At 38.1% G+C, this 24,750-nt stretch overlaps 1 protein-coding gene across 9 annotated transcripts in view, besides 2 other annotated features; it reads left to right on the top strand.

Moving 5' to 3' along the window:
* CHM (CHM Rab escort protein) overlaps nucleotides 1-24,750 on the top strand; it is a 186,379-nt gene that overhangs the window by 24,085 nt on the left and 137,544 nt on the right. The window lies entirely within an intron of this gene.
* Nucleotides 7,146-8,068: an enhancer, noted in NCBI's record as "NANOG-H3K27ac-H3K4me1 hESC enhancer chrX:85270410-85271332 (GRCh37/hg19 assembly coordinates)". NCBI's record gives its function as "activates a minimal SCP1, AML or CMV promoter by ChIP-STARR-seq in primed H9 embryonic stem cells {active_cell/tissue: H9 hESC(primed)}" and the evidence as "EXISTENCE:reporter gene assay evidence [ECO:0000049][PMID:30033119]".
* Nucleotides 20,438-20,948: an enhancer, noted in NCBI's record as "NANOG-H3K27ac hESC enhancer chrX:85257530-85258040 (GRCh37/hg19 assembly coordinates)". NCBI's record gives its function as "activates a minimal SCP1, AML or CMV promoter by ChIP-STARR-seq in naive and primed H9 embryonic stem cells {active_cell/tissue: H9 hESC(naive and primed)}" and the evidence as "EXISTENCE:reporter gene assay evidence [ECO:0000049][PMID:30033119]".

The raw sequence follows: 24,750 nt of genomic DNA, 5'->3' as shown, positions 1-24,750 counted from the left end.
GAGTAGGTACCTTATCTAAGGTTCTAAGGACAGGTAGGATTTCATCGGATGAGATGTACTAGTAGGGGTTGGAGCTGGGAGTAACATTTTGGACAGATGGAGCAACATGTACAAAGATTTGAGAGATGAAAGAGAGTGACAAGTTTGGGAAACTACACGTAGTTGAGTATGACAGGTGCAGAGAATATACAATTAAGTACAGGTTGGGGTGGAAAGTTGAGGGTACAAAGGTAGGGCTCAGGTCAAAGAATTACTTTATCTTATAGATATTAAAGAGCTATTAAATGCTCTTAAGCAGAGGAATTAAATGATCAGATGTGTGTTTTAGTACTACACAGTAGATGGTTGGTTGGAGAAAGGTAGGCAGACTTGCTAGGTGGCTGTTTGCAATGGTCTAGTTTATGGATGATGAACTGAAGAAGCTATTGGCAATCAGAATGAATAAAAGGTAGAAGGATTTGAGGTTATAGCAAGAATTTTTGGTGGTGGATCAGATAAAGTAGGTGAGGGAATGGAAGGAATTACAGATGACACCAAAGATTCTGGTTTGAGCCGTTTGGTGGATGGTGGTGACAATTTCATTTACTTATGCAAGGAATTCAAGAGAATGTTCAGACTTAGGGATAGAACTGGGGAAGGGAAGATAATGTGTTCAGAATTGAAGATGTTGAGTTTGAGGTACCAGTGACATACCTTGGTGAAGAGATCCATTCACCTAGGGATGTGTATGTGTATGTGGGTATGTGTATAAGGAGCCTGAGTGGAAGATCTAGAGCTGGAGATAAGAGATTTGGGCATTATTTGTGAATAAATGGCTGTTAAAACCAAAGAAGTGAATAGAATCATCCTGAAAATGCATATAGTGAAACACAAAACAGGCAAGTATAGAAACCTGGGCAAGAGCAACTTTTAAGGCATGGGTAAAAGGAGAAAAGCCATCAAAGGAGATTGAAAGGAAACAATCAGAGGTTGAGAAGAAAAGCAGGAGGGTGTAGATTTTCATATATGGCGACTTCACTCCTTGAAAACCTTAGTGTCTCTCTACCCATAGAGGAGAAAGTCTGAAGGAAAGGAACATTTATGTAATGTTTTCCTGCTCTGGGCCAGGATTAAATATTTTATCATTTAAAATTCATTTTAGCATTTAAGACTCTTCATCAGGTTCAGTCTACTTCCCCAGCTCTATCTGTCATGTCTGCTTTACATGTAAAATTATACCATATATCTGTGTTCTGTGGACATGCCTTTATTTGCTTTTCTAAAAATAATTTTTTAAAAATTGTCATTTAAACATGCAAAGTTTACCATCATAACCATTTTTAAGCATAGAATTCAGCAGTGTTCAGTATGTTCACATTGTTGTGCAACAGATCTCCAGAGCTCTTTTGATCTTGCAGAACTGAAACTGTGTACCCATTCAACAATAATTCCCTATTTTCTACTGCTCTTCCAGCCACTAGCAACCACTACTCCACTTTCTGTCTATGATTTTGACTACTCTGGATGCCTCATTCATATAAGTGTACTTATGCAGCACTATATTTGTCTTTTTTGTGACTGGCTTATTTCACTTAGTACAGTGTCCTCAAGGCTTATCCATTTTGTTGCATACTGCAGGATTTCCTTCCTTTCTAGGCCTGGATAATATCCCACTGTGTGTGTATGCCACATTTTGTTTATCTCTTCATCTGTTGATAGATATTTGAGCTGCTTCCACTTCTTGGCTATTGTGAATAATGCTGCTATGAACATGGCTGTGCAAATGTTTTTTCAAGATCCTGATTTCTGTTTTTTTGGATAAATTAAAGTGGGATTGCTGGACCATATAGTAGTTCCACTCTTAATTTTTTAGGAAGTGCCATACTGTTTTGCATAGTGGCTATACTGTTTCACATTCCCACCAACTTCCTATTCTTTGGCTTTATTGGGAAGTTGTATGTGAGCTTTTAAGCCAGAGTGCCTGTGTTCAGATCTTGGTTTCTCCACTTACTAGGTGTGTAACCTTTGGCAAGTTATTTAATCTTTCTGTACCTTAGTTTCTTTATAAAAATGACATAATATTGGTACCAATGTTTGCAAAAGAAAAAAGGGCATAATAATATTTAATATCTAAGATTGTTGATGGGATTAAATCAACTAATCTATGTAATGGATTTATAACAGTGCTTCATAGTAAGCCCTCAGTAATGTTAGCATCTACTACTCTTAACAATGCTGTTTCTGCCACTACAGGTGAATAGCCCTTATCTGAAATGCTTGGGACCCGAAGTGCTTCGGATTTCATATATATATATATATACACATATATATACGTGTATATATATATATATATATATATATATATATACGTATATACACATATATATACGTATATATATGTGTATATATATGTGTGTATATATATGTGTATATATATGTGTGTATATATGTGTATATATATGTGTGTGTATATATGTGTAAATATATATATATACACACATCTGGGATTCAGATGTATATATACACACATATATCTCTGATAGATAATGATATATATCTCTGATATATAAGATATATATATCAGATGTATGTATCTATCATATATATCAGATATATATGATAAATATATATAAATATGATATATATGATGTATCACATATCAGAGATATATATAAGAGCATCTACTGCTCTTATATATTTAAATGCTGCTTCTGCCGCTACAGGTGAATGAATAGCCCTTATCTGAAATGCTTGGGACCAGAAGTGTTTCGGATATCGGAGATATATATCAGATGTATATATCAGATGTATATATCGGAGATATATATCATATGTATTTCATATATATCGGAGATATATATCAGATGTATATCATATATAAATTTTTGTAATATTTGCAATATATAGTAATATTTGTAATATATATTTGTAATATGTATATTTTGTAATGTTTGCAATATATATAGTAATATTTGCTATGTATATATATATATATGTAATATTTGCAGTATACTTACTAGCTGCATGTCTCTAATCTGAAAATCTGAAATGCTCCAAGGAGCATTTCTTTTGAGCATCATATTGGCACTCAAAAGGTTTTAGATTTTGAAGCATTTCAGATTTCGGATTTTCTAATTTGAGATGCTCAACAGGTACTAATACTACTGCTACTATTAGATAAGAATAGTAGGAAGCCAGATTAAAGGCGTGACTAATTATGCCTGTGAGATTTGTGGAAAGCTTCACAGAGGTGACATTTCAGCTGAGTCTTGAAAGATGATTGGGATTTAATGAGGAATTGGAGCATTTCAGAAAGAGGGAACATACTGAAAGAGCGTGGGATGCTAGGTGAATGGTGAGAATTTTAGTAGGACTGGAAGGTAAGCTAAGTGAATTGGGTTCATGAGAGTTGAAATTAGAAGAATTAAACTGGAATCATTCTGAGGACCTTGTATGCTGAGGTAGGAAGTACTGATTTTTGTCTTTAATAATTATCTTTAATCTCATCTGTCTTTCCTTCAAACTCATATTTCATGCTTCAGCATATCCTGTCACCTCTACTTCCAAAAACAGTTTAAATCTGTTTTCTCTGTCTCCACTCTTCCTCACCGTCATTGCCATTGGACTACTCTGATAACCTCCTTATTGATCTTTCTGTTTCTACTACTACCCCAATTTTTGGCCTTTTCCCCATTTCTAACTGCATCATTTATATTCTCTTTCTTGCTTACTATACTGTGCTATTGCTGTAACTATGCACTCATTTTTTATTTTATTTTTTTAGGCTAGTCAAGTGAAGCAGTGGGAGTTGAAAAGGAGAAGGAACAAATAAATCTGTAACTGATTATGATCAATTAGTTGTAAATACCACTGCACTTGGACCAGCCTCTGGACATTTTTTCATTGTTAATATTATTTATGCCTCTTCTCTGTTTCTTTCTCCTTGATCTCTCTTGCCAGATATTTGTTTGTTTTATTAGACTTTTCAAATAACCAGCTTTAGCTTTGTTGACTCCTTCAGTGTTATCTTTAATATGTACTTTTATCTTTATTTCCTTTCTTTGGCTTGGAATCCCTCTTGTGCTTTTTCTAACTTTTTGAATTAAATTCTTAGCTCTTTATTTTTAAGCCTTCTTTTTTGCTTAATATAATCATTTATGACTATATGGTTTCCCTTAAGGACCACATTAGTTCTCTCCCATGAGTTCTATGTATTTTCTAATAGCTGTTATGATTTCTTCTTTGCTCTATTGGTTATTTAGAGGTTATTGTTTTAAATTTCGAAATATATTTTTAAATTTCAACATCTTTATTGACTTTTAAATTCCAACACTCATGACAGAACATGCAAATGACACAAAGTAAAAAAGTTCAAGTGTGCCTCCTCTTCCTGCCTGCACCCCACCCACTCTGTCCCCTGTCCCACCTCCCAGAAGCAGCTACTGTTACCTTTTATACATTCTCCAGAGACGTAAGTTACAGAAAAATATGTATTTATAATGTGTATGTTAGATTTGGTATAGAAAAATTATAAGATACTGAGCAGTTAACATCAAGGATCTCTCATGTTGCCTTTTTATAACTGTATCTACCTCCCTCCTCTGCCACTCCCCTGCCTTCAGTTCCTAACCCCAGTGACCACTAGTCTGTTTTTCATCTCTATTATTTTGTCATTTCATGTATAGAACTGTACAGTTTGTAAACTTTTGGCATTGGCCTTTTTCACTCAGCCTGTTTCCCCAGAGATCCATCCAGGTTGTTGCATGTATCAGTAGTTCATTTATTTTTATTGCTGAATGATATTTCCTATTATGTATGTATCACAGTTTGTATAAGTATTCCTCTGTTGAAGGGTACCTGGAGTGATTCTATTTTTTGGTTATTACAGATAAAATTGCTATGGGAACATTTATATAGTTGTTTTGGTGTGTGTGAATGTAAGTTTTTATTTCTCTGGGATAAATTTCTAGGAGTACAATTGCTGGGTCATATGGTAATTATATATATTTAGCTTTTTAAGAAATTGCCAAGCTATTTTGCAGAGTTCCTATACTATTTCCCATTAACAGTGTATGAGTGATCCAATTCCTCTGCATCTTTGCCAGAATTTGATGTTGTCACCTTTTTTTGTATTTTTGGTAATTCTGATAGGTGTGTAGTGATATCTCCTTATTTTAATTCACATTTTCTTACTGGCTAATGATCTTGAACATTTTTCACGTGGTTATTTGCCATCTGTATATCTTTTATGATAAAATGTCTTAATGTATTTTGACTGTTTTCTAATTGGATTGTTTGTTTTACTGTTGGGTTTTGAGTTCTTTATGCCTTCTAACCAAATACATTTTTAACTTTAGTTTTTCTTTTCATAAATGGTTTCCAATTTAATTACACTATTGTCAGAGAATGAGCTCTGCATGACATCAATTATTTGGCATTTTTTAGAATTGCTTCATGGTTTGGAAGTATATGGCTTCATGTGGCTTGTTGTGTTTTCTCTAATTGTTAGAGCTTTATATGTTAGATCAAATTTGTTAATGTTATTGTTTGAAATTTATGTTATCTATTAATTGAAGAGTATATTAAAATCTCCTATCCTGATTGTGGAATTCTTATTTTTCCTTGCAATTCCAATTTTTGCTTTATATGTTCTGAGTATAGATAGGGGCATACAGGTTTAGAATTGTGATATCCTTGTGTAATTACTCCATTTGCCTAGATTTTTTCTTTTTTCTAGCTTTTTCGTAGCTTTTTTCTTTAAAGACTATTTTGTGTGATGTTAATGTAATGACATTAGGTTTCCTTGTTGTATTAGTCTGTTTTCACACTGCTGATAAAGACATACCTGAGACTGGGAAGAAAAAGAGGTTTAATTGGACTTACAGTTCCGCATGGCAGGGGAAGCCTCAGAATCATGGCGGGAGGCAAAATGCACTTCTTATATGGTGGCAGCAGGAGAAAATGAGGAAGATGCAAAAGTGGAAACGCCTGCTAAAACCATCAGATCTCGTGAGACTTATTCACTACCATGAGAACAGTATGGGGGAAACCATCCCCATAATTCAAATTATTTCCCACTGGGTCCCTCCCACAACATATAGGAATTATGGGAATACAATTCAAGATGAGATTTGGGTGGGGACACAGAGCCAAACCATATCATTCCGCCCTTGGCCCCTCCAAATCTCATGTCTTCCCATTTCAAAAGCAGTCATGCCTTCCCAACAGTCTCCCAAAGTCTTAACTCATTTCAGCATTAATCCAAAAGTCCACAGTGCAAAGTCTCATCTGAGACAAGGCAAGTCCCTTCTACCTATGAGCCTGTAAAATCAAAAGCAAGCTAGTTACTTCCTAGATACAATAGGGGTACAGGTATTGTGTAAATAAAGCCATTCCAAATGGGAGAAATGTGCCATAGCAAAATGGCTATAGGGCCCATGCAAGTCCGAAATCTAGTGGAGCAGTCAAATTTTAAAGCTCCAGAATGATCTCCTTTGACTCCAGGTCCTTTGACATCCAGGTCACCCTGATGCAAGAGTTGGGTTTCCATGGTCTTGGGCAGCTCCGCCCCTGTAACTCTGCAGGGTACAGCCTCCCTCCTGGCTGCTTTTATGAGCTGGTGTTGAGTGTCTGCAGCTTTTCCAGGTGAACGTGCAAGCTGTCCGTGGATCTACCATTCTAGGGTCTGGAGGACAGTGGCCCTCTTCTCACAGCTCCACTAGGCAGTACCCCAGTAGGGACTCTGTGTGGGGGCTCTGACCCCACATTTCCCCTCTGCACTGCCCTAGCAGAGGTTCTCCATGAGCACCCCGCCCCTGCAGAAAACTTCTGTCTGGGTATCCCGGCATTTCCATACATCCTCTGAAATATAGGTGGAGGTTCCTAAACCCCAATTTTTGACTTCTGTACACTTGCAGGCTCAGCAACATGTGGAAGCTGCCAAGGCTTTGGGCTTGCACCCTCTGAAGCCACGGCCTGAGCTTTACATTGGCCCCTTTCAGCCAAGGCTGGAGCTGCTGGGGCTCAGGGCACCAAGCCCCTAGGCTGCATACAGCTGGGGGATCCCCGGCTTGGCCCAAGAAACCATTTTCTCCTAGGCCTGCAGGCCTGTGATGGGTGGGGCTGCTGTGAAGACTTCCTACATGCCCTGGAGACATTTTCCCCATTGTCTTGGGGATTAACATTGGGCTCCTAGTTACTTATGCAAATTCCTGCAGCTGGCTTGAGTTTTTCTTCAGAATTTTTTTTTTTCTATCACATTGTCAGGCTGCAAATTTTCTGAACTTTTATGCCCTGCTTCCCTTATAAAACTGAATGCCTTTAACGGCACGTGAGTCACCTTTTTTTTAATTTTTATTTTTTGAGACAAAGGCTCACTGTGTCTCCTAGGCCAGAGTGCAGTGGTGCGATCTCGGCTCACTGCAAACTCTGCCTCTCGGGTTCAAGTGGTTCTTGTGCCTTAGCCTCCTGAGTAGATAGGATTAGAGGTGCCCGCCACCATGCCTGGCCAATTTTTGTATTTTCAGTAGAGACGGGGTTTCACCATGTTGGCCAGGCTGGCCTCAAACTCCTGACCTGAGGTGATCCACCTGCCTTGGCCTCCCAAAGTGCTGGGATTACAGGCGTGAGCCACCCCGCCCGGCCCCAAGTCACCTCTTGAATGCTTTGCCGCTTAGACATTTCTTCTTCCAGATACCCTAAATCATGTTTCTCAAGTTCAAAGTTCCACAGATCTCTAGGGCATGGGCAAAATGCCACCAGTCTCTTTGCTAAAACATAACAAGAGTCACTTTTGTTCCAGTTCCCAACAAGTTCCTCATCTCCATCTGAGGCCACCTCCGCCCAGACCTTATTGTCCATATCACTATCAGGCTTTTGATCAAAGTCATTCAACAAATCTCTAAGAAGTTCCAAACTTTCCCACATTTTCCTGTCTTTTTCTGAGCCCTCCAAACTGTTCCAACCTCTGCCTGTTACCCTGTTCCAAAGTCACTTCCACATTTTCGAGTATCTTTCAGCAACACCCCACTCTACTGGTACCAATTTACTGTATCGGTCTGTTTTCACGCTACTGATAAAGTCATACCCGAGATTGAGATGAAAAAGATGTTTAATTGGACTTACAGTTCCACATGGCTGGGGAGGCCTCAAAATCATGGTGGGAGGTGAAAGGCACTTCTTACATGGCAGCAGCAAGAGAAAATGAGGAAGATACAAAAGCGGAAACCCCTGATAAAACCATCAGATCTTGTGAGATTATTCACTATCACAAGGACAGCACGGGTAAAACCCGCCCCCATGATTCAGTTACCTCCCACCGGGTCCCTCCCACAACACATGGGAATTCAAGATGAGATTTGAGTGGGGACACTGTCAAACCACATCAGAGTGACACATGAAGAAGTTTCTATTCCTTTAGAATAAAAAAAAAAATAACTTTTTCATGTATATATTGAAACTGAACTTCTAAGCTAATCAAAGTGTTTTCTCAAGCAATGCAAGGCCCACCCCTCTCATGTTTTTTGTTATGTAGCATTTTGGTGACACTTTGACTTTATAATCCTTATTTTTTTAATCCTTATTGTTATTATGTTTGATTTTGTAAGTCAATGCTTATCTAGATTTGCCTTTTTGTACCAGTTTCTTTGCTTGCTCTTCATTCTGGCACTAATGTCCTGCTTCCTGAAGTTCTTTCACCCTGAGTCTGTTGTTTCACACTCTGTCTTTGTGATCCGCCCGCCTTGGCCACACAAAGTGCTGCAATTACAGGTGTGAGCCACCGTGCCTGGCCTATTTCATTGTTTTAAAACATGTAAAGCATACTTGTTATATAGTGATGCAGGATTTTTCTTGGCCACTTTGCCAACCAGAGACCTCCACAGCCGGGGACACCCCCACTGCCTGGGCCTCGCCTGGTCCTGGCAGTGTCTTGATTTCACCTTCAGTTTCAAATTACAGTTTAGTTAGTTCTGTAATTCATAGTGTTTTCCATCAGCACTTTGTCCTCTGGCTTCTTTTATTGCTTTTGAGAAGTCTGCTGTTAGTCTGTCATTCTTTTGTAGATGAATTCTCTTTTCCTTCTGGTAACTTTAACATTCTCTTGTTTGTGTTTATAGTCAGGCAGTCTTGCTCTTAGCTGTCTAGATTTGGGCTTTGTTTTTATTTATCCTGCTCAGGACTTGTTTTGCCACTTGAAATCAGATATTTTATGCCTTTTATTGGGAGGAAAGTGCCGATATAGTTTTTTTAATGTTGCCTGTCTCTTATTCTTCCTTTTGGAAATTCTTAGAAATATATTGGATCTTCTCATTCTTTTATTCCTCATAACATCTCTTTCCCATTTCTTGTCTTTTTCTTTTCGATGCTGTATTCTGAGTAATTTCCTCAGCTTTATCTTCTGGTTTTGAGTTTGCAAACTATGGCCCACTGGCCACTTGGTTTTGTAAGTAAAATCTTATTGGAACGCATATTTACACATTAACTATGGCAGGTTTCACACTACAAAGGCAGAATTCAGTAACTGCAACAGAGGCTGTGTGGCCTGCAAAGCCTAAAATATTTACTCTCTGGCCCTTTATAAACATTGCTTGCAGACCTCTTTGCCGGTTCTCCCCTTCTTCCTTAAGATGTGTCTGATTTTAACTTAGCTATCATTTTTATCTCAATGGCTTCTAGAAGTTCTGTTTGGTTATGTTTTTTAAAGCTGTCATGTTCTTTGTGTTTCAATTTATTACATTGTTTTTCTTTTCTTTTTTTTTTTTGAGACGAAGTCTTGTTCCATTGCCAGGCTGGAGTGCAGTGGCACAATCTCGGCTCACTGCAACCTCTGCCTCCCGGGTTCAGGCAGTTCTCCTGCCTCAGCCTCCCGAGTAGCTGGGACTACAGGCACATGCCACCATGCCTAGCTAATTTTTGTATTTTTAGTAGAGACGGGGTTTCAAAACATCTTGGCCAGGGTGGTCTCAAAACTCCTGACCTCATGATCCGCCTGTCTCGGCCACCCAAATTGCTGGGATTACAGGCATGAGCCACCGTCCCTGGCCTATTTCATTGTTTTAAAACATGTAAAGCATACTTGTTTTATAGTGACGCAGGATTTTTCTTGGCCACTTTGCCAACCAGGGACCTCCACAGCCAGCAACATCCCCACGCCTGGACCTCACCTGGTCCTGGGCCTTCCACTGGAGGTGACCCGCCCACTCAGCCTGTGTTGCAGATTGTACTCGAGTTTGGTGGTTCCCCGAGCTCTTTTCCTGTGTTCAGGAAGAATGAGGATACACTGACAATTAGAAGGGTCTGGATGGGCAGAGAAGAATTTTATTGAGCGATGGAAGAGGAAAGGGGACTCCAGGTGGTTTCTCTCTCTCTGTCAGTATGGCTGTGTCCGGGGTTTTTTATGGGCTCAGAATAGGGGAGTGTGTGCTGATTGCTGAGTATGCAAAGAAAGGCTAAAGCAAAGGCACCACTCAAAGTTGGGCATAGCAGTGTAGAAAAGCAATTAGGAAAGGGTAGATATAAGTAAAATAGGTGAAGGGTGGGGATCAGTCAGAGAAAGCATGCCAGACAGGAACACAGGTTTTCAATCCGATCTGTGGATTTGACTTCTAGCTTGGCTTTCAGGCTTTAAACTGTCTTCAGCTTGGAGGTGGGGTTTCACTGTAGACCTGCCACTGTCTGCCTAGGCCTTTGTCTGCCTCCTGCCACTATCAGTAGCCTCTTTCACATATTTCTATTATATTGCCAGGTGAGGTATCAGAGCCCTGGCACTGGGAAGTGGTCAACTTCTGGGTTGGTAAAAAGAATTTGCCAACAACAGTATAGGTTTGAAAAAGGAGTTTATTAGGAAGAACTCTGCAAAAGGTTCCAGCGGGGTGCCTCAATGAGAGGACTGAGCATTCAGCCTTGGCTTTTTCCTTAGGGCTATTTATGGACCTTAAAGTGGGAGCTTAGGGTTGTAAAATGAGTTTCAACATGGCATTCCAGAGATGTATAGAAATTTTAGTTACTTATAAAAGTTGAAAGAGGCCTGGAATCAGATGTCAACTTTATATACCAGGGAAGTTTAATTATTTCTAAATTCCCTAGATAAGGAGTTTATCCTCCAAATGGCCTGTTTGATGGCCACCAGGTGGTCTTTGCTCCCTTTTAAATTCCTCAGATAATGAGTTTTTGTCTCCAGGGCCTGTTCAATTGCCACCAGGCGATTTTCACTTTCCTCATATATAATGTTTTTGGAGGGTTTAATATGATTTGTTATTTTCTCTCCAGCTTTAGGGTCAGTATTTTTCCTTCCTTTTCCCCCTGAAATGTTGAATTTTGAATTTCTCTTAAGTGGCACTTTGCCTGGAGGATCCCTATGTTTCTGCCGAGTGGTTTTGCATTTCCTTTTGCCTCATCACTTACTGCTATTACTAGTGGTCTTAGTTTCCTATTACTGCTGTTATAAATTACCACAATTGTAGTGGCTAAAACCAATACAGACTTATTCTTTTACAGTTCTGTAGGTCAGAAGTTCAAAATGAGTCTTACGGGGACGAAGTCAAGGTGTAGGCGGTGCTGCATTAGTTTTGGAGGTTCCAGGGGAAAATCGGTTTCCTTATCTTTTCCAGTTTCTAGAGGTCACCTGAATCCTTTGGCTCATGGCCCTTCCTCCAACTTCAGAGTGCATCACTTCAGACTCTGCTTCTCATTCCATCTCCTTCTTCTGCCTTTGAATTTTTTGCCTCCCCATTTTAAGGAACTTTGTGATTACATTAGGGCCTACCTGGATAATCCAGGATAATCTTCCCGTGTGAAGATCCTTAATTGCATTAACAAAATCCTTTTTGCCATATAAGATAATATATTCATAGCTTCTGGGTATTAGGACTTGAGCATCTTTGGGGAGCCATTGTCTACCACCTTGGGCCAAAGCAATGTTTGTGTTTATTTCTAGAATTGAGGGTTCCTGTTGTATGTGAGTAGTATAAATTAGAGCACTATATTTACTTGTGCTCCAAGTTTACAGTTATATATGCTTCTCAGGAAAATTTCCCCTCCTTCTACAGTCATGCTTCAGCAGCATGACACCATGCACCTTGCTGTCTGAATATATATTCTCTCATACCTTTATGCCTTTTTTATGCTGGTCCCCATTGTACGTGAACAATTCTTTCTCCTCCTTCAGGACCCATCTAAAATACTGCTTTCTAGTGATGGCTTATTTGATAATCCCGGTAGTATCAATTTTTCTCTTTGTGCTTTCAAGTACCATGCATGTTTTTGTAATATAACATTTTTCATACTGTATTATTGTTTATAGATCTGTTGGCCCTATTAGACTCTTAAAGATGGGGGATCATGTCTTATATGTCTATATATCCTCAGTGCCTAAGAGTGCCTGGAATATAACAATCCCTCAATAAACCTTTGATAAATGAATAAAGTTTAAGAATATGTATATGTGCCAAGCCACTGTGCTGTTGGTAGTAATTTACAATTGCCTAGTACAGTTGCCTAGTATAAAGGAAGCATTGATCCCTTGCTGATCATCTGTAGATTTATAAATTTATGGTAGTTCAGATGGAAGTCATCTGTTGATGAGAAAGTTGAGGTGAGCCCAGTGTCAAATGGACAGATCACAGCAGGACTGGTGCCAAAACTAAGATCTTCTTGTTCCTATTCCAGCATTCTTTGAAATATACCACACTAACTTTGCTGTTGATGATTTGTATTACTCTAATTATAATTTATAGACAAAATACATCATCACCTTATATTTTTGGATATTCCTCAATTAAGTTCTGCTTTTGAATAGGCTAGAAGCATGCTTCTAAGAAACTGTAGTCGTATTCTGGCACTTGGTGGGGTGGTGGTGGAATATAAAGCCACAGGATAAACACTGGAGCATCTGCCTGGTATATACGTTTTATTAAATTGAAAACATTAAAGTTTTTATTGGTCTAAGTTTAGACTTACAGAAAAGTTGTGAAATTGGTATAGATAGTTTTTGAATATATTTAATTTTACTTTCCCTAATGCTAATATCTTATATATCCATAGTATAATTATAAAAACTCAGGAATTAATATTGGTAGAATACTATTAACTACAGACCTTATTTGAATTTCACCAATTTTTTTCTTTCTTTTTTTTTTTTTTAATTATCCTTTAAGTTCTAGGGTACATGTGCGCAACATGCAGGTTTGTTACATAGGTATACATGTGCCATGTTGGTTTGCTGCACCCATCAACTCATCATTTACATTAGGTATTTCTCCTAACACTATCCCTCCTCCAGCCCCCCCCACCCCCCTACCCCCCCACCCCTCTACAGGCCCCGGTGTGTGATGTTCCCCTCCCTGTGTCCATGTGTTCTCATTGTTCAACTCCCACTTATGAGTGAGAACATGCAGTGTTTGGTTTTCTGTCCTTATAATAGTTTGCTGAGAATGATGGTTTCCAGCTTCATCCATGTCCCTGCAAAGGAAATGAACTCATCCTTTTTATGGCTGCATAGTATTCCATGTTGTATATGTGCCACATTTTCTTTATCCAGTCTATCATTGATGGACTTTAAAATTATTATTATTGATGGATTTTTAAAAAAATGTTATTCTGTTCCAGGATCTGGTCCAGGATACTACCTTGCATTTAGTTGTTAATAGTCTCAGATCATCTTCCCCATGATACACTGTGGTGTTTTCCTATGCTGATATTTTTCTTGCTCTTGCTATAGAATCAACCACTTACCTCTATGAAAGAGGTTTACATTAGGTATTTCTACAAGAGCCTTGCCTCTATGTATTTGAGAGTGATATTTAGAAACCAAGATCTGAAACACTAAAAACCATAAATCTGTGTTGATACTTTCAATTAAATAGAATACATTTAAGAATATTATTTAAAACATGGATATACAGTGGAATAAGATGCAAAATATACCAGATTTTTTTGTTAGGATGACCCATGAAAATTAAACATTTTGTGTTTATATAGGACGACTGTAAGCTCTCTCCTGGCTTCCCCTAGCATAAGCTTTCCCTTAAGCCATGAGAGCTGCTTTGAAGGAAATGTTGGAAGCCTTGTGTTAGTGTACACTTTGTCTGCTCTGAGATGGTTGGCACATAGTAGGTACTCAGTAAATACTTTCTGGATGTATGACTCAATATAATAGTATATGACTGGTGGGACCAGAAACTTACATTGTTCCATGATCATGGTCAGAATTTGTAACCCTGGCCATCTTGCCAGATGTATATCATTGACCATATGGGAGATTCAATAAATAAATTAACCCTTTCAATTCACCATCACATCTAGAACAACAGCAGTTAGCACATATCCTGGCATCATCTTGTCATATGAAGGACCTTCCTTACCTTTGTTACTTGGCAGAGCACCATATGAGGGTAGACACTTCACAAATGCTATTTGGTAATAGGGTAGTGTTGAAGAAAGCTTACTGTTCATTTCTATGAGGATTAGTATATGAAAGTTTTCACAGAACTCGTTTGATTTGCTTTTCACCTTTTCAATTTTTAAAGATTTTTCCATTCATGGAGAATGAATGCTACTTGATATTTTCTTTAATATTTTAAAACAATCTAAACTATAAAAATAGTACAATAAGGACTATGTTCTGAAAGGGTTGGCAAACTGTGGCCCACAGTACAGTTGCTTTTGTGAATAAAGTTTTTCGGAAAACAGACATGTCCATTCATTTTTGTATTGCCTCTGTCTGCTTTTGTTAGACAATGGCAGTGTTGACTAGTTCCAACAGAGACCATATGGCTTAAAATATTTACTATCTCATCCTTTATGGAAAATGTTTGCTGACCCTCCACTAGAAAATTTTTTTAGCCCATATAAACGCATATATTGTATATTTAACTGTACAATAGCTGTTTATTAAGGGAAGACAGCGAAGTAAGGATCAGAGAATAATTAAATAATGATTCATATTTTAAAATTTATTAAAATACTACTTTTAAAGTTTATTGCAAAATAATACATGTATACAAGATCATGAAGACAACAATAAAAAGCATACTGCTATCACTTTTTAAAATATAGGTGCCATGAACATGTGTCATGGCAGTTTTTTTTATTATACTTTAAGTTCTAGGGTACATGTACACAACGTGCAGGTTTGATACATAGGGTATACATGTGCCATGTTGGTGTGCTGCCCCCATCAACTCATCATTTACATTAGGTATTTCTCCTAATGCTATTCTTCCCCCAGCCCCCCACCTGCCGACAGGCCCCGGTGTGTGATATTCCTCGCCCTGTGTCCAAGTGATCTCATTGTTCAGTTCCCACCTATGAGTGAGAACATGTCATGTTTGGTTTTCTGTCCTTGTGATAGTTTGCTGAGAATGATGGTTTCCAGCTTCATCTATGTCCCTACAAAGGACATGAACTCATCCTTTTTTATGGCTGCATAGTATTCCATGGTGTATATGTGCCACATTTTCTTAATCCAGTCTGTCATTGTTGGACATTTGGGTGGGTTCCAAGTCTTTGCTATTGTGAATAGTGCCACAATAAACATACGTGTGCATGTGTCTTTATAGTAGCATGATTTATAATCCTTTGGGTATATACCCAGTAATGGGATGGCTGGGTCAAATGGTATTTCTAGTTCTAGATCCCTGAGGAATTGCCACACCAACTTCCACAATGGTTGAACTAGTTTATACTCCCATCAACTGTGTAAAAGCGTTCCTGTTTCTCCACATCCTCTCCAGCTTCTGTTGTTTCCTGACTTTTTAATGATTGCCATTCTAACTGGTATGAGTTGGTACCTCATTGTGGTTTTGATTTGTATTTCTCAGATGACCAGTGATGATGAGCATTTTTTCATGTATTTATTGGCTGCATAGATGTCTTCTTTTGAGAAGTGTCTACTAATATCCTTTGCCCACTTTTTGATGGGGTTGTTTTTTTCTTGTAAATCTGTTTGAGTTCTTTGTAGATTCTGGATATTAGCCCTTTGTCAGATGGGTAGATTGCAAAAATTTTCTCCCATTCTGTAGGTTGCCTGTTCACTCTGATGGTAGTTTCTTTTGCTGTGCAGAAGCTCTTTAGTTTAATTAGATCCCATTTGTCAATTTTGGCTTTTGTTGCCATTGCTTTTGGTGTTTTAGACATGAAGTCCTTGCCCATGCCTATGTCTTGAATGGTATTGCCTAGGTTTTCTTTTAGGGTTTTTATGGTTTTAGGTCTAACATGTAAGTCTTTAATCCATCTTGAATTAATTTTTGTATAAGGCGTAAGGAAGGGATCCAGTTTCAGCTTTCTCCATATGGCTATCCAGTTTTCCCAGCACCATTTATTAAATAGGGAATGCTTTCCCCATTTCTTGTTTTTGTCAGGTTTATCAAAGATCAGATAGTTGTAGATATGTGGCATTATTTCTGAGGGCTCTGTTCTGTTCCATTGGTTTATATCTCTGTTTTGGTACCAGTGCCATGCTGTTTTGGTTACTGTAGCCTTGTAGTATAGTTTGAAGTCAGGTAGCGTGATGCCTCCAGGTTTGTTCTTTTGGCTTAGGATTGACTTGGCAAAGTGGGCTCTTTTTTGGTTCCATATGAACTTTAAAGTACTTTTTTCCAATTCTGTGAAGAAAGTCATTGGTAGCTTGATGGGGATGGCATTGAATCTATAAATTACCTTGGGCAGTATGGCCATTTTTATGATATTGATTATTCCTATCCATGCGAATGGAATGTTCTTCCATTTGTTTGTGTCCTCTTTTATTTCCTTGAGCAGTGGTTTGTTGTTCTCTTTGAAGAGGTCTTTCACATCCCTTGTAAGTTGTATTCCTAGGTATTTTATTCTCTTTGTAGCAATTATGAATGGGAGTTCACTCATGATTTGGCTCTCTGTCTGTTATTGGTGTATAGGAATGCTTGTGATTTTTGCACATTGATTTTGTATCCTGAGACTTTGCTGAAGTTGCTTATCAGCTTAAGGAGATTTTGGGCTGAGAAGATGGGGTTTTCTAAATATACAATCACATCATCTGCAAACAGGGACAATTTGACTTCTTCTTTTCCTAATTAAATACCCTTTATTTCTTTCACTTACCTGATTGCCCTGACCAGAACATCCAGCACTGTGTTGAATAGGCATGGTGAGAGAGGGCATCTTTGTCTTGTGCCTGTTTTCAAAGGGAATGCTTCCAGTTTGTGCCCGTTCAGTATGACACTGGCTGTGGGTTTGTCATAAATAGCTCTTATTATTTTGAGATCGTTCCATCAATACCTAGTTTATTGAGAGTTTTTAGCATGAAGGGCTGTTAAATTTTGTCAAAGGCCTTTTCTGCACCTCTTGAGATAATCATGTGGTTTTTGTCGTTGGTCCTGTTTATATGCTGGATTACATTTATTGATTTGCGTATGTTGAACCAGCCTTGCATCCCAGGAATGAAGCCGACCTGATCGTGGTGGATAAGCTTTTTGATGTGCTGGTGTATTCGGTTTCCCAGTATTTTATTGAGGATTTTTTCATCGATGTTCATCAGGGATATTGGTTTAATATTCTCTTTTCTTGTTGTGTCTCTGCCAGGCTTTGGTATCAGGATGATGTTGGCCTCACAAAATGAGTTAGGGAGGATTCCATCTTTTTCTATTGATTGGAATAGTTTCAGAAGGATTGCTACCAGCTCCTCTTTGTACCTCTGGTAGAATTCGGCTGTGAATCCATCTGGTCCTGGACATTTTTTGGTTGGTAGACTATTAATTATTGCCTCAATTTCAGAGCCTGTTATTGGTCTATTCAGAGATTCAACTTCTTCCCGGTTTAGTCTTGAGAGAGTGTATGTGTCGAGGAATTTATCCATTTCTTCTAGATTTTCTAATTTATTTGCGTAGAGGTGTTTATAGTATTCTCTGAAGGTAGTTTGTATTTCTCTGGGATTGGTGGTGATATCCCCTTTATCAGTTTTTATTGCGTCTATTTGATTCTTCTTTCTTCTTCTTTATTAGTCTTTCTAGCTCTCTATCAATTTTGTTGATCTTTTCAAAAAACCAGCCCCTGGATTCATTGATTTTTTTGAAGGGTTTTTTGTGGATCTGTCTCTTTCAGTTCTGCTCTGATCTCAGTTATTTCTTGCCTTCTGCTAGCTTTCGAACATGTTTGCTCTTGCTTCTCTAGTTATTTAAATTGTGATGTTAGGGTGTCAATTTTAGATCTTTCCTGCTTTCTCTTGTGGGCATTTAGTGCTATAAATTTCCTTCTGCACACTGCTTTGAATGTGTCCCAGAGATTCTGGTATGTTGTGTCTTTGTTCTCATTGGTTTCAAAGAACATGTTTGTTTCTGCCTTCATTTTGTTATGTACCCAGTAGTCATTCAGGAGCAAGTTGTTCAGTTTCCATGTGGTTATGCAGTTTTGAGTGAGTTTTTAAATCCTGAGTCCTAGTTTGATTGCACTGTGGTCTGAGAGACAGTTTGTTGTGATTTCTGTTCTTTTACATTTGCTGAGGAGTGCTTTACTTCCAATTATGTGGTCAATTTTGGAATAAGTGCGATGTGATGCTGAGAAGAATGTATATTCTGTTGACTTTGGGTGGAGAGTTCTTTAGATGTCTATTAGGTCTCCTTGATGCGGAGCTGAGTTCAATTCCTGGATATCCTTGTTAACCTTCTGTCTCGTTGATCTGTCTAATGTTGACAGTGGGGTGTTAAAGTCTCCCATTATTATTGTGTGGGAGTCTAAGTCTCTTTGTAGGTCTCTAAGGACTTGCTTTATACATCTGGGTCCTCCTGTGTTTGGTGCATATATATTTAGGATAGTTAGCTCTTCTTGTTGAATTGATCCCTTTACCGTTATGTAATGGCCTTCTTTGTCTCTTTTGATCTTTGTTGGTTCAAAGTCTGTTTTATCAGAGACTAGAATTGCAAACCCTGCTTTTTTTTATGCTTTCCATTTACTTGGTAGATCTTCCTCCATCCTTTTATTTTGAGTCTATGTGCGTCTTTGCCTGTGAGATTGGTCTTCTGAATACAGCACACTGATGGGTCTTGACTCTATCCAATTTGCCAGTCTGTGTCTTTTAATTGGGGCATTTAGCCCATTTACATTTGAGGTTAATATTGTTATGTGTGAATTTGATCCTGTCATTATGATGTTCGCTGGTTATTTTGCCCGTTAATTGTTGCAGTTTCTTTATAGTATCGATGGTCTTTACAATTTGGCATGTTTTTGCAGTGGCTGGTACCGGTTGTTTCTTTCCATGTTTAGTGCTTCTTTCAGGAGCTCTTGTAAGGCAGGCCTGGTGGTGACAAAATCTCTCAGCATTTGCTTGTCTGTAAAGGATTTTATTTCTCCTGCATTTATGAAGGTTACTTTGGCTGGATATGAAATTCTGGTTTGAAAATTCTTTCGTTTAAGAATGTTGAATATTGGCCCCCACTCTCTTCTGGCTTGTAAGGTTTGTGCCGAGAGATCCGCTGTTAGTCTGATGGGCTTCCCTTTGTGGGTAACTTGACCTTTCTCTCTGGCTGCCCTTAACATTTTTTCTTTCATTTCAACCTTGGTGAATCTGACAATTGTATGTCTTGGGGTTTTTCTTCTTGAGGATTATCTTTGTGGCATTCTCTGTATTTCCTGAATTTGAATGTTGGCCTGTCTTTCTAGGTTGGGGAAGTTCTCCTGGATAATATCCTCAAGAGCGTTTTCCAACTTGTTTCCATTCTCCCCATCACTTTCAGATACAGCAGTCAAACGTAGATTTGGTCTTTTCACATAGCCCCATATTTCTTGGAGGCTTTGTTCGTTTCTTTTTACTCTTTTTTCTCTAACCTTGTCTTCTTGCTTTATTTTATTAATTTGATCTTCAGTCACTGATACCCTTTCTTCCATTTGATCAAATCGGTTATTGAAGCTTGTGCATGCGTCATGAAGTTCTCGTGTCATGGTTTGCAGCTCCGTCAGGTCATTTAAGGTCTTCTCTACACTGTTTATTCTAGTTAGCCATTCATCTAACCTGTTTTCAAGGTTTTTAGCTTCTTTGCGATGGGTTCGAACATGCTCCTTTAGCTGGGAGAAGTTTGTTATTACCGACCTTCTGAAGCCTACTTCTGTCAACTCGTCAAAATCATTCTCCGTCCAGCTTTGTTCCATTGCTGGCGAGGAGCTGCAGTCCTTTGGAGGAGAAGAGGCACTGTTATTTTTAGAATTTTCAGCTTTTCTCCCTGCTTTCTCCCCATCTTTGTGGTTTTATCTACCTTTGGTCTTAGATGTTGGTGACCTACAGATGGGGTTTTGGTGTAAATGTCCTTTTTGTTGATGTTGGTGCTATTCCTTTCTGTTTGTCAGTTTTCCTTCTAACAGTCAGGTCCCTTAGCTGGAGGTCTGTTGGAGTTTGCTGGAGGTCCACTCCAGACCCTGTATGCCTGGGTATCACCAGCGGAGGCTGCACAACAGCAATTATTGTAGAACAACAAATATTGCTGCCTGGTCTTTCCTCTGTAAGGTTTGTCCCAGAGGAGCACCTGCCTATATGAGGTGTCTGTCGGCCCCTACTGGGAGATGTCTCCCAGTTAGGCTACACGGGGGTCAGGGACCCACTTAAGGAGGCAGTCTGTTCGTTCTCAGAGCTCAAACCCCATGTTGGGAGAACGACTGCTCTCTTCAGAGCTGTCAGACAGGGATGTTTAAGTCTGCAGAAGTTGTCTGCTGCCTTTTGTTCAGCTAAGCCCTTCCCACAGAGTTGGAGTCTAGAGGCAGTAGGCCTTGCTGAGTTGTGGTCAGCTCCGCCCAGTTCAAGCTTCCTGGCCACTTTGTTTACCTACTCATGCTTCAGCAATGGCGACGCCCCTCCCCCAGCCAGGCTGCCTCCTCGCAGTTCTCCCTTGGTTAGGAAAGGGAAATACCCCGACCCCTTGTGCTTCCCAGGTGATGCGACACCCCGCCCTGGTTCAGCTCTCCCTCTGTGGGCTGCACCCGCTGTCCAACCCATCCCAGTGAGATGAATCAGGTACCTCAGTTGGAAATGCAGAAATCACCTGTCTTCTGCGTTGATCACACTGGGAGCTGCAGACCAGAGGTGTTCCTATTCGGCCATCTTGGAACAGTTATGGCATTTTTCTATGTTGTACTACATTAGTTAGAATGAAAGAATAAGAAGCTGTAAAAAAAAAAGACCCAGACACAATGGCTTGAAAACAATAACTGAAAATATTTTGTGGTTAAAACAAATGTGAAGAGTCCATGAGCACTCTGGTTCCTTTTATCTCATTTTCTTTACCACCCCCTAGGGTTTTCTTTGTTAGCACAGTCTAAAACGGGTCACAGGTTTGCCCAGGTTCCAGCTTTCAGAGAGGAGATAGAGAGTGGATAGACTTTTGTTCTTTTAAGTCCTGGACCTGGAGTGGCATATATCATCTTTGCTCATAGTTCCTGGACAAAAACTAGTCATAATCCACATACAGTTTTATGGAGTTATAAAACTCATCGCTAGCTTGATTGCCATATGTCTATATCCACCTGTGGGAGATGGGAGATTCGGTAGAGAGGTAGTGGTCTTTGCTTGTAATTGCATGCAATTTTCAGAGTCCAGGGTGTTGACCATTACACCATGGGGCTGGCTTAATTGCATGCAGTTTTCTTACAGAAGATGTACTTGTTGTTGTTGTTTTTTTAAACAACACTTTAACAACAACTTTTTTTTTTGAAAAAATTGTTTTTCAATTGATTGTAATGGGCTGTGATGTGGCTCGGATATTTGTCCCCTCCAAATTTCATGTTGAAATGTAATCCCTAGTTTAGTAGGTGGGGCCTGGTGGGAGATGTTTGGATCATGGGAGTGCATCCCTCGTGAATGATTTAGCACCATCCCCTTGATGATAAGTTAGTTCTCACTCAGTTCACGTGAGTTCTGGTTGTTTAAAAGTGTGTGGCACCTCCCCCTTGTTCTTTTGCTTCCACTCTCATCATGCATGGTGCCTGCTTTCCCTTCACCTTCTGCCGTGATTGTTAGCTTCCTAAGACCCTTTCCAGAAGCGGATGTTGGCACCTCACTTTTTGTCCTGTCTGCAGAACCTTGAGCCAACTAAACCTCTTTTCTTTATAAATTACCCAGCCTCAGATATTTCTGTATAGCAATGCAAGAACTCCCTAATACTGGCAGTATAGTATTTTTTTTTTTTTGCAGATGAACATGTCATGATTTATTTAGCCATTTCTCTACTGTTGCATATTAAGCTGTTCCTGATTTCTTGTTATGAACAAAATGTAAACATTCATATATGCATGTCGTTTCTATTTATAACTGTCCAATATTTAAAAAAGGGGCATTGTCCCACATCTTTATCACATTTTTGTGTTTGTAAAATGGACTTATGATATTTTTCTTATTTATTTGTATTTTTAAACAATTGATACACCATAGTTGTATATATTTTTGGGGTATACGTGATATTTTCATACATGTATACAATGTGTAATGATCAAGTCAAGCTAATTGGGAAATATATCATCTAAACATTTGTCTTTTTGTTGGAAACATTAAAATTCTTCTCTTTTAGCTATTTTGAAATACATAATTATTTTAAACTGTAATTTCCCTACTATGCTATCAAATACCAGAACTTATTATATCTACCTGTATTTTTATACCCATTTACCAACTTTACTTCATGCCCTCTGCTCCCCTTTCCTTCCCAGCCTCTGTTAACTATCATTCTACTCTCTACCACCATGACATCCACTGTTTTAGCTCCGACATATGAGTGAGAACATGAGATATTTGTCTTTTTGTGCTTGGCTTATTTCACTAAACATAATGACCTCCAGTTCCACCCATGTTGCTGAAAATGACAGGACTTAATTCTTTTTCAGGCTGAATAATATTCCATTGTGTATATATACAATATTTCTTTATCCATTTAACCATTAATGTACATTAAAGTTGATTCCATATCTTCGCTGTTGTGAGTAGTGCTGCAGTTCTTTGATATACTGATTTCCTCTTTTTTTTTTTTTTTTTTTTGAATATATTCCCAGTAGTGGGATTGCTGGATCATATGCTAGTTGTACTTGTAGTTTTTTGAGGACCCTCCATACTGTTTTCCATAATGGCTATACTACTTTACTGATCTTTTTCTTTTTCTCTAATTTAAACAACTGTCACAAAGTCAGTTTGACTTATTGAACTTGTATAACTTCTGTGCCTCAATAAAACTGAATGTTACAGTAAGGAATTAGGTGAAATTTACTTTTTTTTTTTTTTTTTTCAGGAAGACTTACTTAGTTAGGTAGCTAGTAGAATAGTAACCTGAACTCAAGAAATGTAATTTCATCCTGATAAAACTGCTGAGTAGGGCTATCTTCCTAATTTTCATTAAATATTTCTTACTTGGAAACATTGAATATTAAATGAGACAAAAACTGTAAGACTAACAGCAAACAAAAATACACTTTGACTTTTTTATGTGCGTGTATTACATTCATGACTTTGTGAAGATCATCTTAGTACTTGTAATCTTTTGCTATTGTTTGCATGTATATTCTATTCAAGTGATATTGGTTGATGATTCTGAAGTGCCCCGCTATAAATATCAAGTACAACCTCTGTTGATTTATAAACAGTGTCTGTCATTATCAAGAGCAGCTAATCTTATTCAAAATAGTCACTTCATTGTTGTGTTGCCATAAATTTCTGCAGACATATTTTAAACTAAAGTTAACTTCTGCTATATTGTAATTGAGGGAGCTCTATTTTTGTGTGCCAGCTATCTGTCTCAGTAAATGTAAAATCTCTAGTTTTTTTCAGAGGCCTACAATTGCTGTAAATATTAATGAGCTGCGGACACGTGAAATTTAAAGAATAGATGTGATTTAAAAGAGCAATTTGCAATTCTTAAATGTAGAGATTGGCATTTACTTTAAACTCGAAGTTGTTAAATGGAGGTGTAGTAAGCACAGAAGTTTATACTTGAACAAAATCTACTTCTACCAATAATTGTTCATTTACATGACCTCAACTGATCCTTTTTTCTGATCATTTATGTCATTTGGCTTTATATTTTTTTCATATCAGTCTTCATGTTCTGTTATATACTACCTTCATATATATGCTAACAATTCATTTAGATTCAGTTTTTCTTAGTCATTATTAAAAAGAGAATACTTAATATTTGGGGTCTTTAAATCTCATTATACCAAGTGTTTGGTGAATTTATGTCATGGGTCCAAATAATTGTCATAAATACAGTTGTTGATTTTTAAATCTTATATAATAACCATATTATTCCTAAAAGGTGAAAACATTGGTATGTTTTAATAATTTCACCAAGTAAGCATATTCATCTAAATAGTATTATCTTAGATTAAGAATTGATGATGTCATTGTTATATGTCTGTCAGTCCCTGGACTAGATTTCTCTTTGGCCTGACAAATGAATTTTTTTTTTCTAGGTAGGAGTTGTGACTATTTAGGAATTGTGATAAAGAAAAATGACCAATTATCTTTGTCTCTGTAGTTGTTTTTTGTTTATTGGTTTGAAAAAAACCTTTTTTTCTGTAATTATAAAAATATACATATGCTTGTCATAAGAATTCAAGCAACGTATATATCTATATATTACAAGCATATATGCATACATACATGTAAGATATACATGTCATCCTTCCCATATACCACTCCCAATAGACCATCAATATAGATTGTCCCCAACTTCTGATGGTTTAACTTACAGTTTTTCAACTTTATGATGGTACAGAAGCCATACTCATTCAGTAGAACTCATATCTCAAATTTTAAAATTTGATCTTGGGCAA

This window comes from Homo sapiens, chromosome X, assembly GCF_000001405.40.
Source record: "Homo sapiens chromosome X, GRCh38.p14 Primary Assembly".
In the NCBI taxonomy this organism is placed as follows: domain Eukaryota; kingdom Metazoa; phylum Chordata; class Mammalia; order Primates; family Hominidae; genus Homo; species Homo sapiens.
Note: the sequence above shows the minus strand (reverse complement) of the source record. Positions and strands in the feature narration are given on the sequence as shown.